The 17,051-nt window shown below is 48.0% G+C and overlaps 1 long non-coding RNA gene across 2 annotated transcripts, besides 1 other annotated feature; it reads right to left on the minus strand.

Moving 5' to 3' along the window:
- Window positions 1-1,332: 1,332 nt before the first annotated feature.
- Window positions 1,333-7,523, minus strand: LOC105372903 (uncharacterized). Of its 2 annotated transcripts, XR_922553.3 has the most exons (3): window positions 6,910-7,007; window positions 3,888-4,670; window positions 1,333-3,724 (listed from the first exon to the last, which is right to left on the minus strand). It is a non-coding gene; the product is annotated as an uncharacterized LOC105372903 (long non-coding RNA). The 2 variants fall into 2 exon arrangements; XR_001738450.2 differs by having other exon boundaries at window positions 1,333-4,670; window positions 6,910-7,523.
- Window positions 14,004-14,298: an enhancer, noted in NCBI's record as "tiled region #10274; HepG2 Activating DNase matched - State 5:Enh, and K562 Activating non-DNase unmatched - State 6:EnhF". NCBI's record gives its function as "activates a minimal TATA promoter and a strong SV40 promoter by Sharpr-MPRA in HepG2 cells, with weak activity in K562 cells {active_cell/tissue: HepG2 | K562}" and the evidence as "EXISTENCE:reporter gene assay evidence [ECO:0000049][PMID:27701403]".

Genomic DNA, 17,051 nt, shown 5'->3' on the forward strand with positions numbered 1-17,051 from the left:
ACTTTCTTTTAATTTGTTTTCTCCTTTTGTTAATTGGATAAGCTAAGTGAAATGAGGTGTCGCTTATGGAAGTGACTGCAAAGAGGAAGTCACTGCAAATTCATCAATGTGGTATTCTCCAGGACTTATTAATGGCAAAGGGATACAGAGAAAAATCTACACTGTCTGCTCTTTTACCCTGGCAAAAACTTAGCTGCTGCTCCATGCCCCGTGTCAGGAAAGAGCCAATTTCTTTCAATGGCTCACATCATTTTAATCTACCCCTTGGTTTTCAACATACATGGAGTTGATCCACATTATGGTTTTTGAGTAGGACATTTATTCAGTCATGTGTGCTTTTTCATTCAACCTTTATTGAGCACCTACTATGAACAGATCACTTAGTATGTGATATGTCAGTCCTTGACATTAATGTTATTATGCTTGGTTAGAAACTACAATTTGGAGATTAAGAATGAAAGCTCTGAAGGGAAGCCAAAGCTGGATTCAGGTTTTATGGAGACTTCGGCTAACACGGTTTAGGGGGCCTCTTCAAGAAAAAGAATTTTAAAAATTGCAAACACAAAATTAGGCACAGGGCCTTGCAAAGGGCCATGTAAGTGAAGGATCCTGAAACCTCAGCTCATTCCTTTCTCAGAAAATTCCCTCTGAGCCAGGCACACTGTGGTTTAAATCCCAGCAATATGACCTTGGGCAAGTGACTCAACTGCTCTCAGCTCAGTGTCCTCATCTGCAATATGAGAAAATGAGGAGATAATAAAATACACCTGGTATTGGTGTTATGAGGGCTCCAAAGATGAGGACACAAAGCACTGAGCCCAGCATTTAGCCTGGCCTGTAATAGATGTACAATAAATGGTAGCTATTGTTAGGAATATCAGTACTATTGTGAGCTTTCACCCAATAGGATTGCCTAATCACAAAATCTAGCTTCCTGAGCAGAATCTAGGGAAGAGAGGGAATGAAGTCCAAGTTTACACATTCTTGCTAATCCAGTTTGTGGGTATGGTACACACGTGGTGTGCCCGTGAAGCTGAGCCCCACTGCACTACAAGCACACCACATATGGGGCATGGCAAGCGTGCTGCCTGCTGCATTAAATGTCTCCTTGCCCTGAGAACTGATTCATTCTGAGGTCATAAAGCAATTATCTTCAAAACACTATATTAATATCTGATTGTGGAATTAAACCAGACCTGTCTAGGTTTGCCTTCCTTGAGCAAAATGTGTTTATGCAGCATAAGTGAGAAGGGTAAATACAAACTAGACAATTTTTTTCAAAAATGTGCAAGGAGTGGATGGGTGATAAGAAAACAAGAAAGACCATTTGGAAACTATTAAATTACTTCCTTTGTATTTGCACAGAAAATTCCTCTGGTTTTGATGATATGACATTCCTGTAAAGTAGGTAAACATGTTTCCATATTATCAGTTTACAGATTTTTAACTTGGCTTTTCTTTTTTTTTTTTTTTTGAGACAGGGTCTTGCTCTGTCACCCAGGCTGGAGTGCAGTGGCTCAATTACGGCTCACTGAGGCCTCAATATCCTAGGCTCAAGCGATCCTCCTGCCTTAGCCTCCCAAGTAGCTGGGACTACAGGCATGCACCACTGCACTTGGTTAATTTTTGTATTTTTTGTAGAGACGAAGTTTCGCCATGTTACCCAGACTGGTCTTGAACTCCTGGGCTCAAGTGATCTGCCTGCCTTGGCCTCCCAAAGTGTTAGGATTATAGGCGTAAGCCATCATGCCCGACTTCTAACCTTTTTTATTTTCTGTCTTTTTTTTTCTTTTCAAGCCCAGCAATCAACCAAAAAAAAAGGCAAATATTCTCTATCTCATAGGGGTTGCGAGTCAGGTTCTCACTCATGTTTCCCTCTGAGAGAAGAGGACAGGGAAATTGAAAAATAAATTGATAAACAAGTTATCAGAGCAGACTATGGCTTCTTTCTCCCTTTGAAATTTTCTTTTTGAAATCTTGTGGATTTTGAAGCCTGAGCAGTCTGAAAGTCTGACAAACAAACAAAATGTAATTATGCTTCAGTTAGCTAGGATCAGTGGTAGCGCCAATAAATGATTGAGAGGGGGCAAAGATTTAATTTCCCCATGATTTCCAATAGCCACCTTTAGCTATGCCAAATAGCCATGGAATCCAAGCAGAAACAGCATACTTGCTGTGTAAACATGACTTCAAGACAAAACTCCAGCTTGCCTTCCTAACAGATTGCCAGCCCTTCAGCCCCTCCTGTATGGAAACTCATAGGCTAGCAAAGCAGACTTGAACGTTCTGGTAATAGAAGTTAATTGAATTATCTGAGGGCTAATCAGAAAAACTTATTTGTTGCAATCTTTCTAGTAGAAACCCATTCTTAGATGTATTTGTTCAGTTCTTGCCTTAATAGATAGAATGGCCCTAATGAAAACTTGCATGATTCAAAATATTGTTAACACCTCACAGCCATCATCGTGAGTAGTAACATGAAGTATTGCTACGGATTTACTCATTCATCATTTCTTTCACCCAACTATGAGTTCAATAAATATTTGTTGAATGGAATTGAGGGAAGCCCCAAAGGGAGAAGGAGGTGCTGGAAGCCCTACTAGAATCCGGACTGAAATCAGGGCCAAATCTCACAGTCCAGCACAATGGGCAGCACAGAGGAAACATTTGATATATGTCTGCTAATGTAATTAGCTAGTGAGATAGGGGCTGGGGCAAAGACAGTGTTGAACTAACTAGTTCACCAATTTGCTCTAGTCTTGGCTTTATCTGTGTAAGGGTAACTGATGCAAAGCAATAAATTACTTAAATATGATTTAAAAAATCTCCCTGTTCCATTGCTGTTACTTTATGAGCTTTCCAAGCATTCCTTATTATTTAGGTTTATTAAACATCATTAATCTTTTGGAATGGGTACTGTTTTGTAGAAATCTTTACATTCAATAACCTCCAAAGATGTCTCACATGCTTAAAAAAGACAATAGGCATGAGAGTTAGACGAAGAAGTGCATGAAATAGCTAATTCATTCATCAAATGTCTTGAGCATTGCCATGTGCCAGGCTCTGAGGATTCACTAGTGAGCAGAACAAATGTGGCCCCCATACCACAGAGCTACACATGAACATAATAGAAACATAATTACAATCTGGAACTAGATCCCAATAGGGACACAAGCCAGGGAGGGGGCACCTAATTCAGTTTAGGAGGACAGGGAAGTGCTCTTTAAGGAATGACATGAAGTGAAACCTACGTAAGAAAAGGCAACAAATACAGAGACTGTTTTCCGCAGAGGGATCAGCATATAAGACCATGAAGAAGAAAGAAATCTGGTACATTTTAGGAACTTTGCAAAGTGGGGACAAAAAGAGCTGGGTAAGGCAGGGCCTTGTAGTTAAATCCCTGGTCTGGTGTTGATCATAAGGGGAAGGGTCACGTAGAGCTGGCAATGAAAGGCTCCCACAGCCTTTCTGCATTCTCTGCTAACAGAAGTTAGCAACACGGCCCAGTGATTTTTAGTATACATTAAATGCAGCTCTACGTACATCATCCCATGCAGGCCTTGTACGGCATGTGTGGGGGCAGCTGTTCGTTTCCTCTGCAGCTTCCATCTCCATTTTTCCTCCCCAGGAGACCCCTGGTCATGTTCAGGTGGAGCCTCCCGTCCTCTGCTGTCACGTGCTTCAAGGGACACAGACCCTGTTCCTGGGTCCACAGGGGTGGTTCCTGATAGGCGAAGGGTATTAGTAAATGGCATTTCTCCGGGGAATCTTTTTGGGCTAGGGTGAGCACAGGATCTAAAATAGCCCAATCAGACTGAAGACAGAAGCTCAGATTCCATGGCTGGGAAAGTGTCCTTTCTCTCCCTTCCACTGTGCCAGTTACTCACAGTTATCTCTCATCCAAGGAAAGAACCTTCAACCCTCAGGTGAAGCCAACGCCAAGCACAGCAGAGCAGAGAGGTAGAAAGCACCTGGGCTCTCAGTAAAATGGTGGAGCTGCTGAGTCGACCCACCCCAAGGCCTGCCCTTCGTCGCTTACACTTCCTTATTGGTTGAGATCTTGCATTTGCTCCTCCCTTTGGTTCTTTGACACCACAATCGTAGCTCCCGCAACTCTCTGGTAAATCCCTTTCTGTCTCCTTTACTGGGTCCCCCCACACCTTCTAGTTTCTAAATGTGATTTTTAAATAAAAGTTTCTAAACGAAGTTACCTCTGAACATCTCTCCACTTTCTCTCAGGGAGATCTCAGCCACTCCCATGGCTTCCTTCTTTATTTAAAGGTCTGTTCGCCAAATGTTCACATTTCCTTACAACATCTCCAAGTGATGGTCCAGCTTTAATACTTCCAGTAAACTCACTGATAATGCAAATACATTCCAAATTGATATAGTTTCTCTTTAGAGTCAGCGGCTACTCCTGATTTCCCAACTTCAGAAGTAGTTGCTTAAAATGTATGCAAAAGAGCCAGAGGGTGTCTTGCGGAACCCAAGAACAGGAAGTGCATCTAGAAATCTGACCGCCTACGGGCACCCGGGCAGCTGCTCCTAAGCTCTCACTCAGAAGCCATCTCTGCATGGGCTTCCTTCTTCTCCGTTTTGCAGCCTGGCATCTTCATGTGGAAGCATGAGGCCAGCAACAGGTCACCAGCTGGCCCAATCACATCTTCAGCCTCCGAGAGAGATTGAGAGAGACAGAGAGAGAGAGAGAGAGAGAGAGAGAGATCTTTCTTTGCTTTAGTCCCAAGCTGAGGAAGAGTTCCGATTGACCCATCTTGGGTCCGGCGTCCCTAGACAAAGGCTGTGCATTTACACAGTGACCTCCACAACAGCCGTGGAGAGATGAGGGAGCAATGGATGCTTCCCAGGAGGGAAGGGTCCATTCCCAGAAAGGGAGGGAGGGCCAGGCTGCAAAAACAATGGGGACCCAGTACGAACAGGACAGAGGACCTTCCCTGTGAGTGAGGAGACAGCTCTCAGAGAAAGGAGTTATTAATGGTACAGGCAGAAGTTCCATGATTTCACCCAGGTCAGAGACCTTGGAGCCATTTTTGACTCCCTCTGTCAGACTCCCTCTGTCACTGTCCACCCACTTCCCTGATGTCCAATAAGACACTAACTCCTAGTACTTCTTTCTTTCTTGCTTGCTTTTTTTTTTTTTTTCTGAGACAGAAACAGTTTCACTTTTGCTGCCCAGGCTGGAATGCAATGGCACCATCTTGGCTTACTGCAACCTCTGCCTCCCAGGTTCGATTCTCCTGCCTTAGCCTCCCGAGTAGCTGGGATTACAGGCGCATGCCACCAGGCTCAGCTAATTTTTGTATTTTTAGTAGAGAGGGGGTTTCGCCATGTTGGCTAGGCTGGTCTTGAACTCCTGACCTCAGGTGATCCTCCTGCCTCAGCCTCCCAAAGTGCTGGGATTACAGGCATGAGCTACAGTGCCCGACCTACTTCTTCTTTCAAAATACTTTATTGTCCTCCCTTTCTTTGGTTTCTCATTCCAGTTCCTTAGTTTCAGTCCTCATTGCCTCTCCCCTGGGTTCTCTAATCACCCCACTGGTTTGCCAGCCTTTTTTCTACTTTCATCCAATCTATGGTCAGACTAATCTTCCTAAAACACCACCAGGAAGAACTTTCTTCCCAGATCTAAAAACCTTCCAATGTCACCTGGCTGCCTGTAGAACAAAGTCCAAACACTTTGGCTGGTTATTCAGGAATGTCTTCAACTGTCACTGGCATTGTTACTTAGGTTCTCCATATCTGTGGCCTGCGTGGCCTTTCCTAATGGGAGTTCCCCAGCCACATGCCCAGGGTATGATTTTACCCACCCCCTGCCTTAGGAGTGGGGCTCAAATGGCTTAAGCCCACCAACATAGCCCCATCACCCTGGCCCTAGCTACTGGCTGAAGAAAAGACACTGAGCTAGATCCAAGCCAGCCAGCATGTTCTCCAGGCCACAGTCATTGGCTCGGGGGACCACTTGTGAGCCCTGCTGACCCACCAGAGCAAACCTCAGGACTTGTGCTGGTGAGGCTGGGCATAGAGGCTCTTTCTTCTCCTGGACATGAGTGGAGAAGCTTACAGTCCAAGGAGCTGCTGCCAACCATCGTGGTTCTCAAGAATAGCTGCAAACAGGGCAATTGGCCTAAAAACAATTTTCTGAAAGCCAATTCATTGAAAGCCAATTTCTGAATCAATTTGAAAATATAAGCATATTCAGGCTGGGTGCAGTGGCTCACGCATGTAATCCCAGCACTTTGGAAGGCCGAGGCGGGTGGATCACTTGAGGTCACGAGTTCGAGAGCAGCCTGGCCAACATGGTGAAACCTCTTCTCTACCAAAAATACAAAAAAAATTAGCCAGGTGTGGTGGTGGGTGCCTGTAATCCCAGCTACTTGGGAGGCTGAGGCAGGAGAATCACTAGAACCCAGGAGGTGGAGGTTGCAGTGAGCCGAGTTAGTACCACTACACTCCAGCCTGGGTAACAGAGCAAGACTCCATCTCAAAAAAAAAAAAAAAAAAAAAATATATATATATATATATATATATATGTTTATTGACTGTTTTAAAAAAGCATATTCCTTAAATCATGTTTTTGGCAAATTTGTCATTTGGCACATTGGCTTCAAGCCAGGGAGGTGGAGTCAGGACGAAGCCTTCGGAAGAAGAGAGGAAAGACACAAATGCAAGGTCCTTGGTGTGGCTTTGAACTCTGGATTGGCCTTGACTGAAGCCCGCCACACCTCCTGACTTTTCCAAAACATGAGTCAGTCCATTCCTGTTAGAGTTTGACCCAGGTTTGTTTGGGTTTCCTGTTACTGGCAAGTGAAAGCATCCTCACAATGTATTTTTCTGAATATTTCCAAATTCTGATCTTCCAACACTTGGCTCCAACCAAATCAGTCTACTCACCTTGCCCCAGGTCCTCTTCATGCTTTTCCATAGCGTGATCGTTCTCTTCTGCTCCTTCCTTCAGCCCCTCTGCCTGTTTGGCATCCCCCTGGCTTTCCAGACAGGAGCCTCTCCCTGTTCCTGGTGCAGGCCCGGTAGGCTGCTACTGCCCTCCATGCCCCCTGCAGCCCCCAACAACTCCTGCGGCCCTCCATGCCCCCTGCCTTCTCTGCATAGCTGTCCAGCTTCTTTGGTCACTGGGATCAAAAACTCACTGAGTTCCTTCAGAAGGCCAGTGGGAACAAAGGCAGCTCCCCAATGGCTCCTTCCTGCCTTTCATCAAAGGCCTTCTGGTGGCCCCCACATGCTGTTCTATGCTCTCTCTGTGTGCCTGCTCTTGTCCCAGCTCTGCGGACAGGCAGCCTCTTCACCGTTGCTGTTCCCTTGTGACGGCTGTTACCCCCACTTCTACCTCAGGATGTCCTTCCAGCTCCTGTTCCCTCAGCTGATTGTTTCATTTTTCTCCCTGGGTCTAAATCAGACTTCCTGGACACAGTCCAGTGGGAACCACTAATCCTTTTACCCTAGACCAGGCTGGGTCCCTGTGTAGCCTATGGCTGGCCAGACACCGGGTCAAGTGTTCGCCCCTGCTCCAAACACCTGTCAGGAGGTGATGGATTGCGGAGTCCCCTTTGGGGTACCCTTTATATATGGTTGAGAGAAGGGAGGCCTGGCAACCTAGAAATGGATTGTTGGCATGGCGAGACCACCTGGCCTTTCAGGATGCTGTCCCACCCATTTGGCCGTCAATCACACACCCCACTGTGTGCTGTATATGGAGCTATTTAAATGTTTATTATTTAAATATTTGTTATCAGCCAGGCTCGGTGGCTCACGCTTGTAATCCTATCACCTTGGGAGGCCGAAGCGGGCGGATCACTTGAGGTCAGGAGTTCAAGACCAGCCCGGCCAACATGATGAAACCCTGTCTCTACTAAAAATACAAAAATTACTCGGGCGTGGAGACACATGCCTGTAGTCCCAGCTACTGGGGAGGCTGAGGCAGGAGAATTGCTCGAACCCAGGAGGTGGTGGAGGTTGCAGTGTGCCGAGATCATGCCTCTGCACTCCAGTCTGGGCGACAGAGTGAGACTTCATCTTTTAAAAAAATGTTTTTTAGCTACACTTTTTGTACGTTTGTTTATCTCCTTAACTAGATCATTAGTATTATTATTATTTTTGACTCCTCCATAGACAGAGCAGGGCTACCCCATACATAGAGTAGCCCGACTAGATTATAAAATTCCTTAACAATAGAGATGATGACACTAAATTTCTATAATAAAATGATAACAATAAGCAATAGTTACTGAGCATTTACCATGTACCAGGTACAGTTCTAACTGCTTTATAGAACAATTAAAAACACCTCGGTGTAAAGCCCCATCTATCTTATCCCCACTTTACTGATGAGGAAGTTGAGGCCATGACTCACAACCAGTCACAGGGCTGGTGATTTGCACCCAACCAGTTTGATTCCAGAATCTATGCTCTTAGCACATTGCCCCTTCTCCTGTTGGTGCTGACTACACATTTATTGTGATGAAAAGGAAAACTACCCTCTCTCTTTATGTTGGGTTAGTCCTCACCGACCAATGTGTTCTATGAACACTTACTTTTTGGCCAAAAGCCTCCCTTTCACAGCTAGGAAACTAATGCCAGAGCAACAGAGCAAAAGACAATCCATTCTGAACCAAAACTCCCTCTTGGCTTGAAGCGAGCTCATCAGCCAGATGCTCCACCTCCCTCCCATGTTTTCCTGGCACTGCTTTGTAGAAATCTGGATCCAGGGGCCGTGTGCAAGGTGGCTTCCGCAGGCACAACCAATTGCCAGACAGACGTGTAGGCTGAAGCGCCAGCCAGCAAATCATTTCAGCCACTTTCATCTTCCCTGCATGCCAAGTTCAGGGGGCAGGGGAGGGGCATCTTAGCCTGGATTCCCCTTGACTGGTGTTGAGGTATCCTGGAGCTAGGGGCTGAGCTATTCGCACCCCAGCAGTCAAACCATTAACCCATGGTCCGCTGGGTCCCCAGGGTCACCCCCTGCCAGAGGCAGCTGCACCTCCCTCTCTCCGACCTCTCTGCCAAGGCTGGAAAATCAGCAGGCTGTTTGGCTGTTTGGGGCTGTGGATGCTTCCAACCAACCTCCTGAGGCAGAAGGGCAGGTTTGCCCACTTTACAGATGGAGAGATGAAGGCAGACAACTTATTTCGGGCCACGCAGGTCTGGATGGTTGTCACGGGGAGCACTGAGGTTACCTCCTCTGTCAAGGTCTCATCTAGCTCTAAGCTTTCTCTCCCTCTCTCTTCCTCTCTTCCCAGCACCCGACTCCCTGTAGGCCAAGCTTTCTGTTTATCACCAAGACCCCCTTCACCTCACTCTCCCTTTTTCGCAAAGCCCTCCCATGCCCTGGGAGCCTTCTGAATCCTGACTTGAGCATAAAGGAGTTAGGGGAAAAGAGAAGAACTGGGTGAGAGGGGGGATGGAAGAGGAAGCAGAGATTCAGCTGACAGTGTCTAATGGTGGAAGGCATGTCTCAGGCCCAGAAAAGCCACACCATGGCCTCTGTTTTTCTGTGCAACAGTGGCCCTGCCAGGGAGACGGTGTGGGGAACCTGCAGGGAAGCTTTTCTAACGAAAGGGATTGGGGAGGACTTCTAAGGGAGAGAGGGAGAAAGTCCTCAATTCAATCTCTTCCCCCTTCTCTTCCCGCAACCTGTTTGTCTACTGACTTCTTTAGCTGCTCCTCTGTCATTTCCTGAACAGATCAACATTTTCTGAACAGGCACAAGATATTAACTAGGAAGCTCAGGTGTGGAAGAGCAGAGACCTCGGAACTCACCCCACCCTGTCCAAAACTTTTTCTTTTTTTTTTTTTTTCTTTTTGAGATAGGGTCTTGCTCTGTTCCCCAGGCTGGAGTGCAGTGTCACCATCATGGCTCACAGCAGCCTCGGACTCCTGGACTCAAGCGATCGTCCTTCCTCAGCCTCCCAAGTGGCTGGAACTATAGGCATATGACGCCATGCTGAGCTAATTTTTAATTTTTTTTGTAGAGATGGGGTCTCATTATGTTGCCCAGGCTCTACACTATCTTTTTATAGCTGAGGAAACTAATGCTCAGAGAGGAGTGTATCTTGACCAAGATCACACAGCTTATGAGTGATAAAGCTGAGATGAAAAAGCATGTTCTTTATACTATATGGGGCTGTCTTATTCATCCACACATACAAGATGTCCCCATGGAGAGCATGCAGGGGAGTCTCCCAGTACAGTGACTGAGAACCAGGGCTGCTTCTTACCTCTTCAAGCCTGCCCAGGGGGCCTCAACTTGTCCTGCCATGGATTCTACTTCACCCAGTCACTGTGGGAGCGGAAGACACTCCCAAAGCAGGTCATTCTGTGAAGGCTATGCCCAGAGAGGCAGCCACGGCCCTCCTCACAACACAGCCCAGATGCTCTCTGCAGCCCTTGGCCTGTTTGCCAGGCCGGGTTCTGCTTATGCCCTGGAGTGAGCAATGCCCAGGGCCTACAAAGCCTGTTCCCGTGCAAACTCGGCTACTGGCTGGTGCTGTGCTTCCTGCCCTGCAGGCTGGGCGCCTTGAGGGTTCTGCATCCTCCTCCTCACCACTACCAACAGCTTCTCATCTGGCAACTGGGTGGAGATCCTGCGGACCCCGCTGGACCACTGTAAGAAGAGCTTCACCTCAGCCTTGCTCTCTGACCAAAACTGACAGGCCACCATTTTGAAATGCTGACACATCCAGAAGTGACAGAATGGAAACTCCAGCACTCTCTGGGCACCAGTCAGTGTCCAGCACTGTTACTTCAGGGTCTGTGAGGAGAGTGCTGGTGGCGTGAGAGTGAGAATGAGGGGTAGGGCAGCAGGCTTGTAGTCAAACTGCCTTAGAGAAAGACACCATGAGCGTCCCAGGAAGAGGCTATTAATAGGCCTCCCTGAACATGCTCAGCGGTCCTGGGCTGGGGCTGTGAGAGCATGAGTCAGCAGATGGAAGGGCTGATGGTGAGCCCAGGACACAGAGCCAGCTCCCCACAGGGGAAGTGGAGGCTGTGAGACTGCACTTTTGAGCAACCCTGGTCTCGTGCCGCCCCACCCTCTTTTGAGTATGTAATCTGTTTGGATGGTATATTACCAGTGTTGTAAATTCCAATTCTGGAGCCAGAATTTTTTTTTTTTTTTTTTTTTTAAGAGACAGAGTTTCACTCTGTCACCCAGGCTGGAATGCAGTGGTGCAATCCTGGCTCACTGCAGCCTCAACCTCCTGGGCTCAAGCAATCCTCCCACCTCAGCCTCCCAAATAGCTGGGACTACAGGCACGTGCCACTATGCCTGGCTAATTTTGAAGCCAGAATTTAAAGCAGCAAAAAATCCAGAAAATCCTTTCCCCCCACTTACCCTCTCTTACTTTCTCTTCATTGACAAAGCTGGGCACAGGAAAAAGGACTCCATCCCCTGCAATGTGAAGGGCTGCTCAGCCATTATGAATGCCCCTCTCCACACCTACCCAGCCACTGACTCACTCCGGGACGAGCTCCCAATGTAGATTAAACATATGTTGAGTGCCAGGCCCTGTGACGGGCGGTTTCACACATATTATCTCATCCTCATAATGACCCCGGGACACAGATATATTGATATCTCACTTTCACAGATGAAGAATCAAAGCTGAGAGTGATTAAGCTATTTGTCCAAGGAGCTGTAGCCACTGTCATTTATCAAGTATCTAACAGATGCCAGGGACTTGCATACAGTTTTTTCTGTTTGTTTGTTTTTGAGACAGAGTTTCCCTCTTGTTGCCCAGGCTGGAGTGCAGTGGCACACTCTTGGCTCACTGCAACCTCCGCCTCCCAGGTTCAAGCAATTCTCCTGCCTCAGCCTCCTGAGTAGCTGGGATTACAGGCACCCACCACCATGCCCAGCTAATTTTTTGTATTTTTAGTAGAGACGGGGTTTCACCATGTTGGCCAGGCTGGTTTTGAACTCCTGACCTCCGGTGCTCCACCTGCCTCAGCTTCCCAAAGTGCTGGGATTACAGGCGTGAGCCACTGCACCCAGCCTCACAGTTTCTTTAAGGAAGTTAAAGGTCCTCACTTTACTGATGAGGAAACTGAGGCTCAGAGGGGCTGGGCAGCCTGGGAAGTGGCAGCACCGTGCGTGGGTCTGCCTGCCTCTCAAGCCTACGCTGCCTCCAGGCTACAGGGCAGCCGGGACTCCAGCCGCATCTCTGCCTCTAAGTCCACCACACCCACGGCCTTCCTGGCGAAGGACGGCCTTGTGTGCCCTGACTGAACACCTATCAGTCTATGGTACCCGTTGTTATCAGAACCAGCAGAGTGACCTCAGGGCAGATCTTCCTATCTCGCACATTACACCTGTGCACCTCCGTCCTTCTGAAAGGAGACAGCCTGGCAGGCTGATTCCAAGGTCAGGAGAGTGGAAGTTAAAAGAACCTAAAGGGAACACTTTTCAGTGGCCTAAAGGGGACACTTTCCTGCCATCAAGCCCATGGCCATGTGAGCAGAGCTTCCTGTCAGCCCCAGATTTGACTGCAGTGGCCTTAAAGGAAACAGACATAACATCTACCTGCTAATTTCTATCACATCACAAAAGTTCTGTGGTTTGTGGTTGGTAAATTTAGATATGGGAATATTCGACTCCCAGGAAAGGAATATACAGAGGGAATTATGGGGAGATGAAAAAGGGTCTCCAATGGGTATTTTAACTTTTGATTTTTTTTTTTTTTTTTTTGAGATGGAGTCTCGCTCTGTTGCCCAGGCTGGAGTGTGGTGGCACAATCTCAGCTCACTGCAACTTCCACCCACCGGGTTCAAGCAATTCTCGTGTCTCAGCCTCCCAAGTAGCTGGGATTACAGGCACCTGCCACCATGCCTGGCAAGTTTTTGTATTTTTAGGAGAAATGGGGTTTTGCCATGTTGGCCAGGCTGGTCTCAAACTCCTGACCTCAAGTAATCCACCTGCCTTGGCCTCCCAAAGTGCTGGGATTACAGGCGTGAGCCACTGCACCCGGGCAAAACTTTTGGTTTCTAAGATGCTGCAAGTGGTGGGGACAATGGTGAGTCAAGGATGTTTTAATGCATCCTTGAAAAGGTGGGATGAGTCTTTCTTCAGCCAGTTTCCCCAAGTGCCATTGGCTGGGGAAATCAACAAAAGCCATTTGGCTGAGTGCCGTGGCTCACTCACACCTGTAATCCCAGCACTTTGGGAGGCTTGAGGTCAGGAGTTCGACACCAGCCTGGGCAACATAGTGAGACCCTGTCTCTAGAGAAAAAAATAAAAAATGAAATCAATAGCTCTTCCTCTTCCTGTCTATACTCTGCTTTAATTTTTTTCATAGCCCTTTTCTCTAACTCACATTGCATTATATGTGTTTGTGTATGTATGTGTATATATATATATATATATATATATATATATATATATATATATACCCCTGTTTATTTTTTTATTTATTTTCTATCTCTCCACTCCCCTGTAAGAATGTAAGCTCCACAAGGACAAGGACTGTGTTTCTTGTTCACCACAGTTTCCCAGGGACTAGAAACATAAGAAGCCTTCAGTAGAGATGTGCTAAATGAATGAGTGAGTGAAGGAGTGAATGCACCCTGAGGGGTAGTTTAACCCCCTGTAAATATCTTCCATGTCAGTTTCTCTGAGGAGTGGGTGTCAGAACCCACAGTCCTCTGAGCCTGCACCCCCTCTCAGCATGAGCCAGAAGAGAGTCTCCTTGGGCTCTGCTCTCTGGGGTAAGGGAGACAGGCTGGTGCTTGTGATAAGCCTTCTGTTGGGACCTACCAAGCCCTGAGCAGAGGATGGAGGAGACACAATTCCCACCGCATCCCAAGGGAATCCCCACTCTTGTGAGTTTCCTGACAGGAATGGGGCAGGGTCTGCAGCCAGTCGTCAAGAGCAGGGAAGCTTTCAGAAAGGGCCACCGCCAGTGATTACGGGCCATTCAGTTGTCCACCCCCAGCCTAAGCCCCCTACAGCCCTGCTTCGTTAACCAGTTTTCAGAGCGACAGCTAAGCTGCATGTACACAGGAGGCAGACACCAGCCTGTTGTCTCTGTTCCCAGGCCCCAGGATGACAAAACACTTGGTGTGTTCAGATGAAAGGGCTCTCATTGCAAAGGGCAGGATTGCCAATCCCACTGAGCTCCCTGGAATGGAAAGCTGGACTCTCCGAACTCGTGATTACCACTGTTGTGGAGATTAAAGACTTCCTGTCGGAGAGAGCAGTCCTCCCGAGCCAAATAACACTAAGGCCTGGCCGGCGGCCATCTTGTGGGGCCTCCCTGGCAGCCAGAGCTGGAGGGACTTGGCTCCCTTGTCGAAGGCTAACCTGCTTGAGGCAAAGTCAAGGTGTTTGGGCCAAAAACAGTCCCTGAGGGAGCCTTGGGCTGAGGCCTGGGCACTCTGTTGGCCTCCTCAGCCCCAGCCCGACCCACCTTGTTGAAAGCAGCTGCTGTGGCACATCCAGTGGGAGTAGGCCAAGGTCCCCGCTCACTTGCCTTTCCTGAGGATTTCTGATGTGTGTGGTGAGGTGGAAGAAGGGCATGCTGGGGAAGCCAGCTCAGGGGAGCCTGGGGGATAGGGGAAGGCCATGGCTTCCTCGTTTGCTCCACCAAGAACCTGAACCAGTCAGACCCTAGGCGGCTGGTGCATGTGACGAGCACTCCCTGTTGAGACCTACAAAGTCCTGAGCAGAGGATGGAGGAGACACAGTTCCCTTCAAACTGTGCCCCAACCTGGCTAATGATCAAAAGCATCTAGAGCTCTTAGTAAAAAAGCAGATATCAGGCCGGGAGCAAGGGCTCACACCCTGTAATCCCAACACTTTGGGAGGCCAAGGCAGGAAGATTGCTTAAGGCCAGGAGTTTTTGACCAGTCTAGGCAACAAAGTGAGACCTCATTTCTACAAAAAGTTAAAAAATCAGCCACCAGGCATGGTGGTGCCTGTGGTCTTAGCTACACGGGAGGCTGAGGCAGGAGGATTGCTTAAGCCTGGATGTCGAGGCTGCAGTGAGCTGTGTTTGCGCCATTGCACTCGGGCCTGGGTGATGACAGAGGAAGACCCTGTCTCAAAAAACAAACAAACAAACAAACAAACAAACAAACCATACCTCAGGCCATACCCTGTGAGTTCTGGCTCACTCTATCTCAGGTAGGTCCTAAAAATCTATTTTTTTTAAGAAGATAATCGTGGTGTGCCTGCTCTGAGTGCCTGTGAACAGGGAAAGTAGAATGGGGCACTGGGCGAGGGTCAGCAAACAGGATTCTGGCCTCTGTTCTTTCAGATGACTTTGGGAAAGTTACTTTGCTTCTCTGGGCCTCAGTCTCATCAGGAAAGCACAGAGGTCGAACAATGTGTCCCCAGTCTCAGAGTGTGGCTCAAGGGGATGTGTCACCGTGCATGGCCATGGTCCCAAGGAATGCTCTGATCTCTAGGCCACCTTTAGCTGGAAGGAGAACCCCTTAGAAGGCTCTGATAACAACAGTGACAGCCGGCATCACTGATGTAGAGCCAGGCTCTGAGCCTAGCACTTGATCTGCATTGTCTCATTTTGTCTTCACAACCAACCTTTGGAGGCCACACTTGCCCATAGAATTCTCTGAAATAATGGAAATATTCTGTCTGCACTGCCTGAAAACAGTGACCACTAGCTACCTGTGGCTATTGAGCATCTGAAATGTGGCTAGTGCAACTAAGAAAATGCATGTTAAATTTTATTTAATTTTACTTGAATTTAAATGGCTACACATGGCTGGGCACAGTGACTCACACCTGTAATCCCAGCACTTTGGGAGGCCAAGGCAGGTGGATCACCTGAGGCCAGGAGTTCAAGACCAGCCAGGCCAACATAGTGAAACCCTGTCTCTACTAAAAATACAAAAATTAGCCGGGTGTGGTGGCAGGCACCTGTAATTCCAGCTACTTGGGAGGCTAAGGCAGGAGAATCACTTGAACCTGGGAGGCAGAGGTTGCAGTGAGCAGAGATCACGCCATTGCACTCCAGCCTGGGTGACAAGAGTGAAAGTCCATCTCAAAAATAAATAAATAAATAAATAAATAGCTACACATAGCCAGTGGCTACCATATTGACCAGCATGACTCCAAGATGTGGCCTAGTAGTATTTTCATCTGACGGACGAGAGAACAAGATTAGAGAGGTGAAGTGATGTGGTAGAGCTGGGATTTGAATCTGGATCTGAGAGGGACTCCAGAAGTGGTTCTCCTAATCACTGTAAAGTCCCACCAAGTCTGGACGGCAGGACTCTAGTCCCAGCCCTGTGCCTGAGGAGCAGGTTGACACTTCTTTCAGCCGGGGGTAGTGTCCAAGGTCCTTCTAGCTTGGACACCCCTGACCAGTGTATTTGGGGTGAGGCATGGAGAGAATAAGGGGAATGCAGTTGCCTGGTGTCTACAGCCTCCCAGACACAGAGGCATCTGTGTCTGCCCACCCAGGTCCCTCCTGCCACAGTTCTCACAAGTCACTGGTCTCCTCCATGTCCCAAATGTTAGATGCTTCTAAAGATGGACTACTCCTCATAACACTTCTACGATGTAAGTAGTATCATACCCATTGTACAGCTGCAGAAACTGAGCTTCAGAGCAATGAAGTAACTCATCCAATTTCCCACAGCACAGGGAGTGGTAGAGCCCAGAATTGAACTCTGATCTGTGTGATCCCAGAGGCTGAGCCCTTCACCTCTGCCCTGTGTGGTCAGAGGGTTGAGCTGAGGCCCCAGGAACCTAAGCAGCTGAAAGTCTGCTTTGTTACCAAGACACATTCATCCCCAGCAGGATCCTCTCACCCTGCCTGAATCCAAAAGGGATTCTGTTCTTCCACCAAAGGCCTGGCTTCTGGACCCACCTAGGCCCATGAAGACTCTGGTGTACAGGAGTCTCTAGCTGGAGAACCAAAGAGGAGGAAGAAGCTGCTAGGGACTCTGTGGGCCAGCCCTTCCCACCTCCAGAGCCCAAACATACCCTGTGTGGGGCTGAGAGGAAGCAGAGGCCTCAGTGGCCCAGGCAGTGGGCTTGATTCCTAAGGGGCCACACTGTG

This window comes from Homo sapiens, chromosome 1 (genome assembly GCF_000001405.40).
Source record: "Homo sapiens chromosome 1, GRCh38.p14 Primary Assembly".
Taxonomy (NCBI): domain Eukaryota; kingdom Metazoa; phylum Chordata; class Mammalia; order Primates; family Hominidae; genus Homo; species Homo sapiens.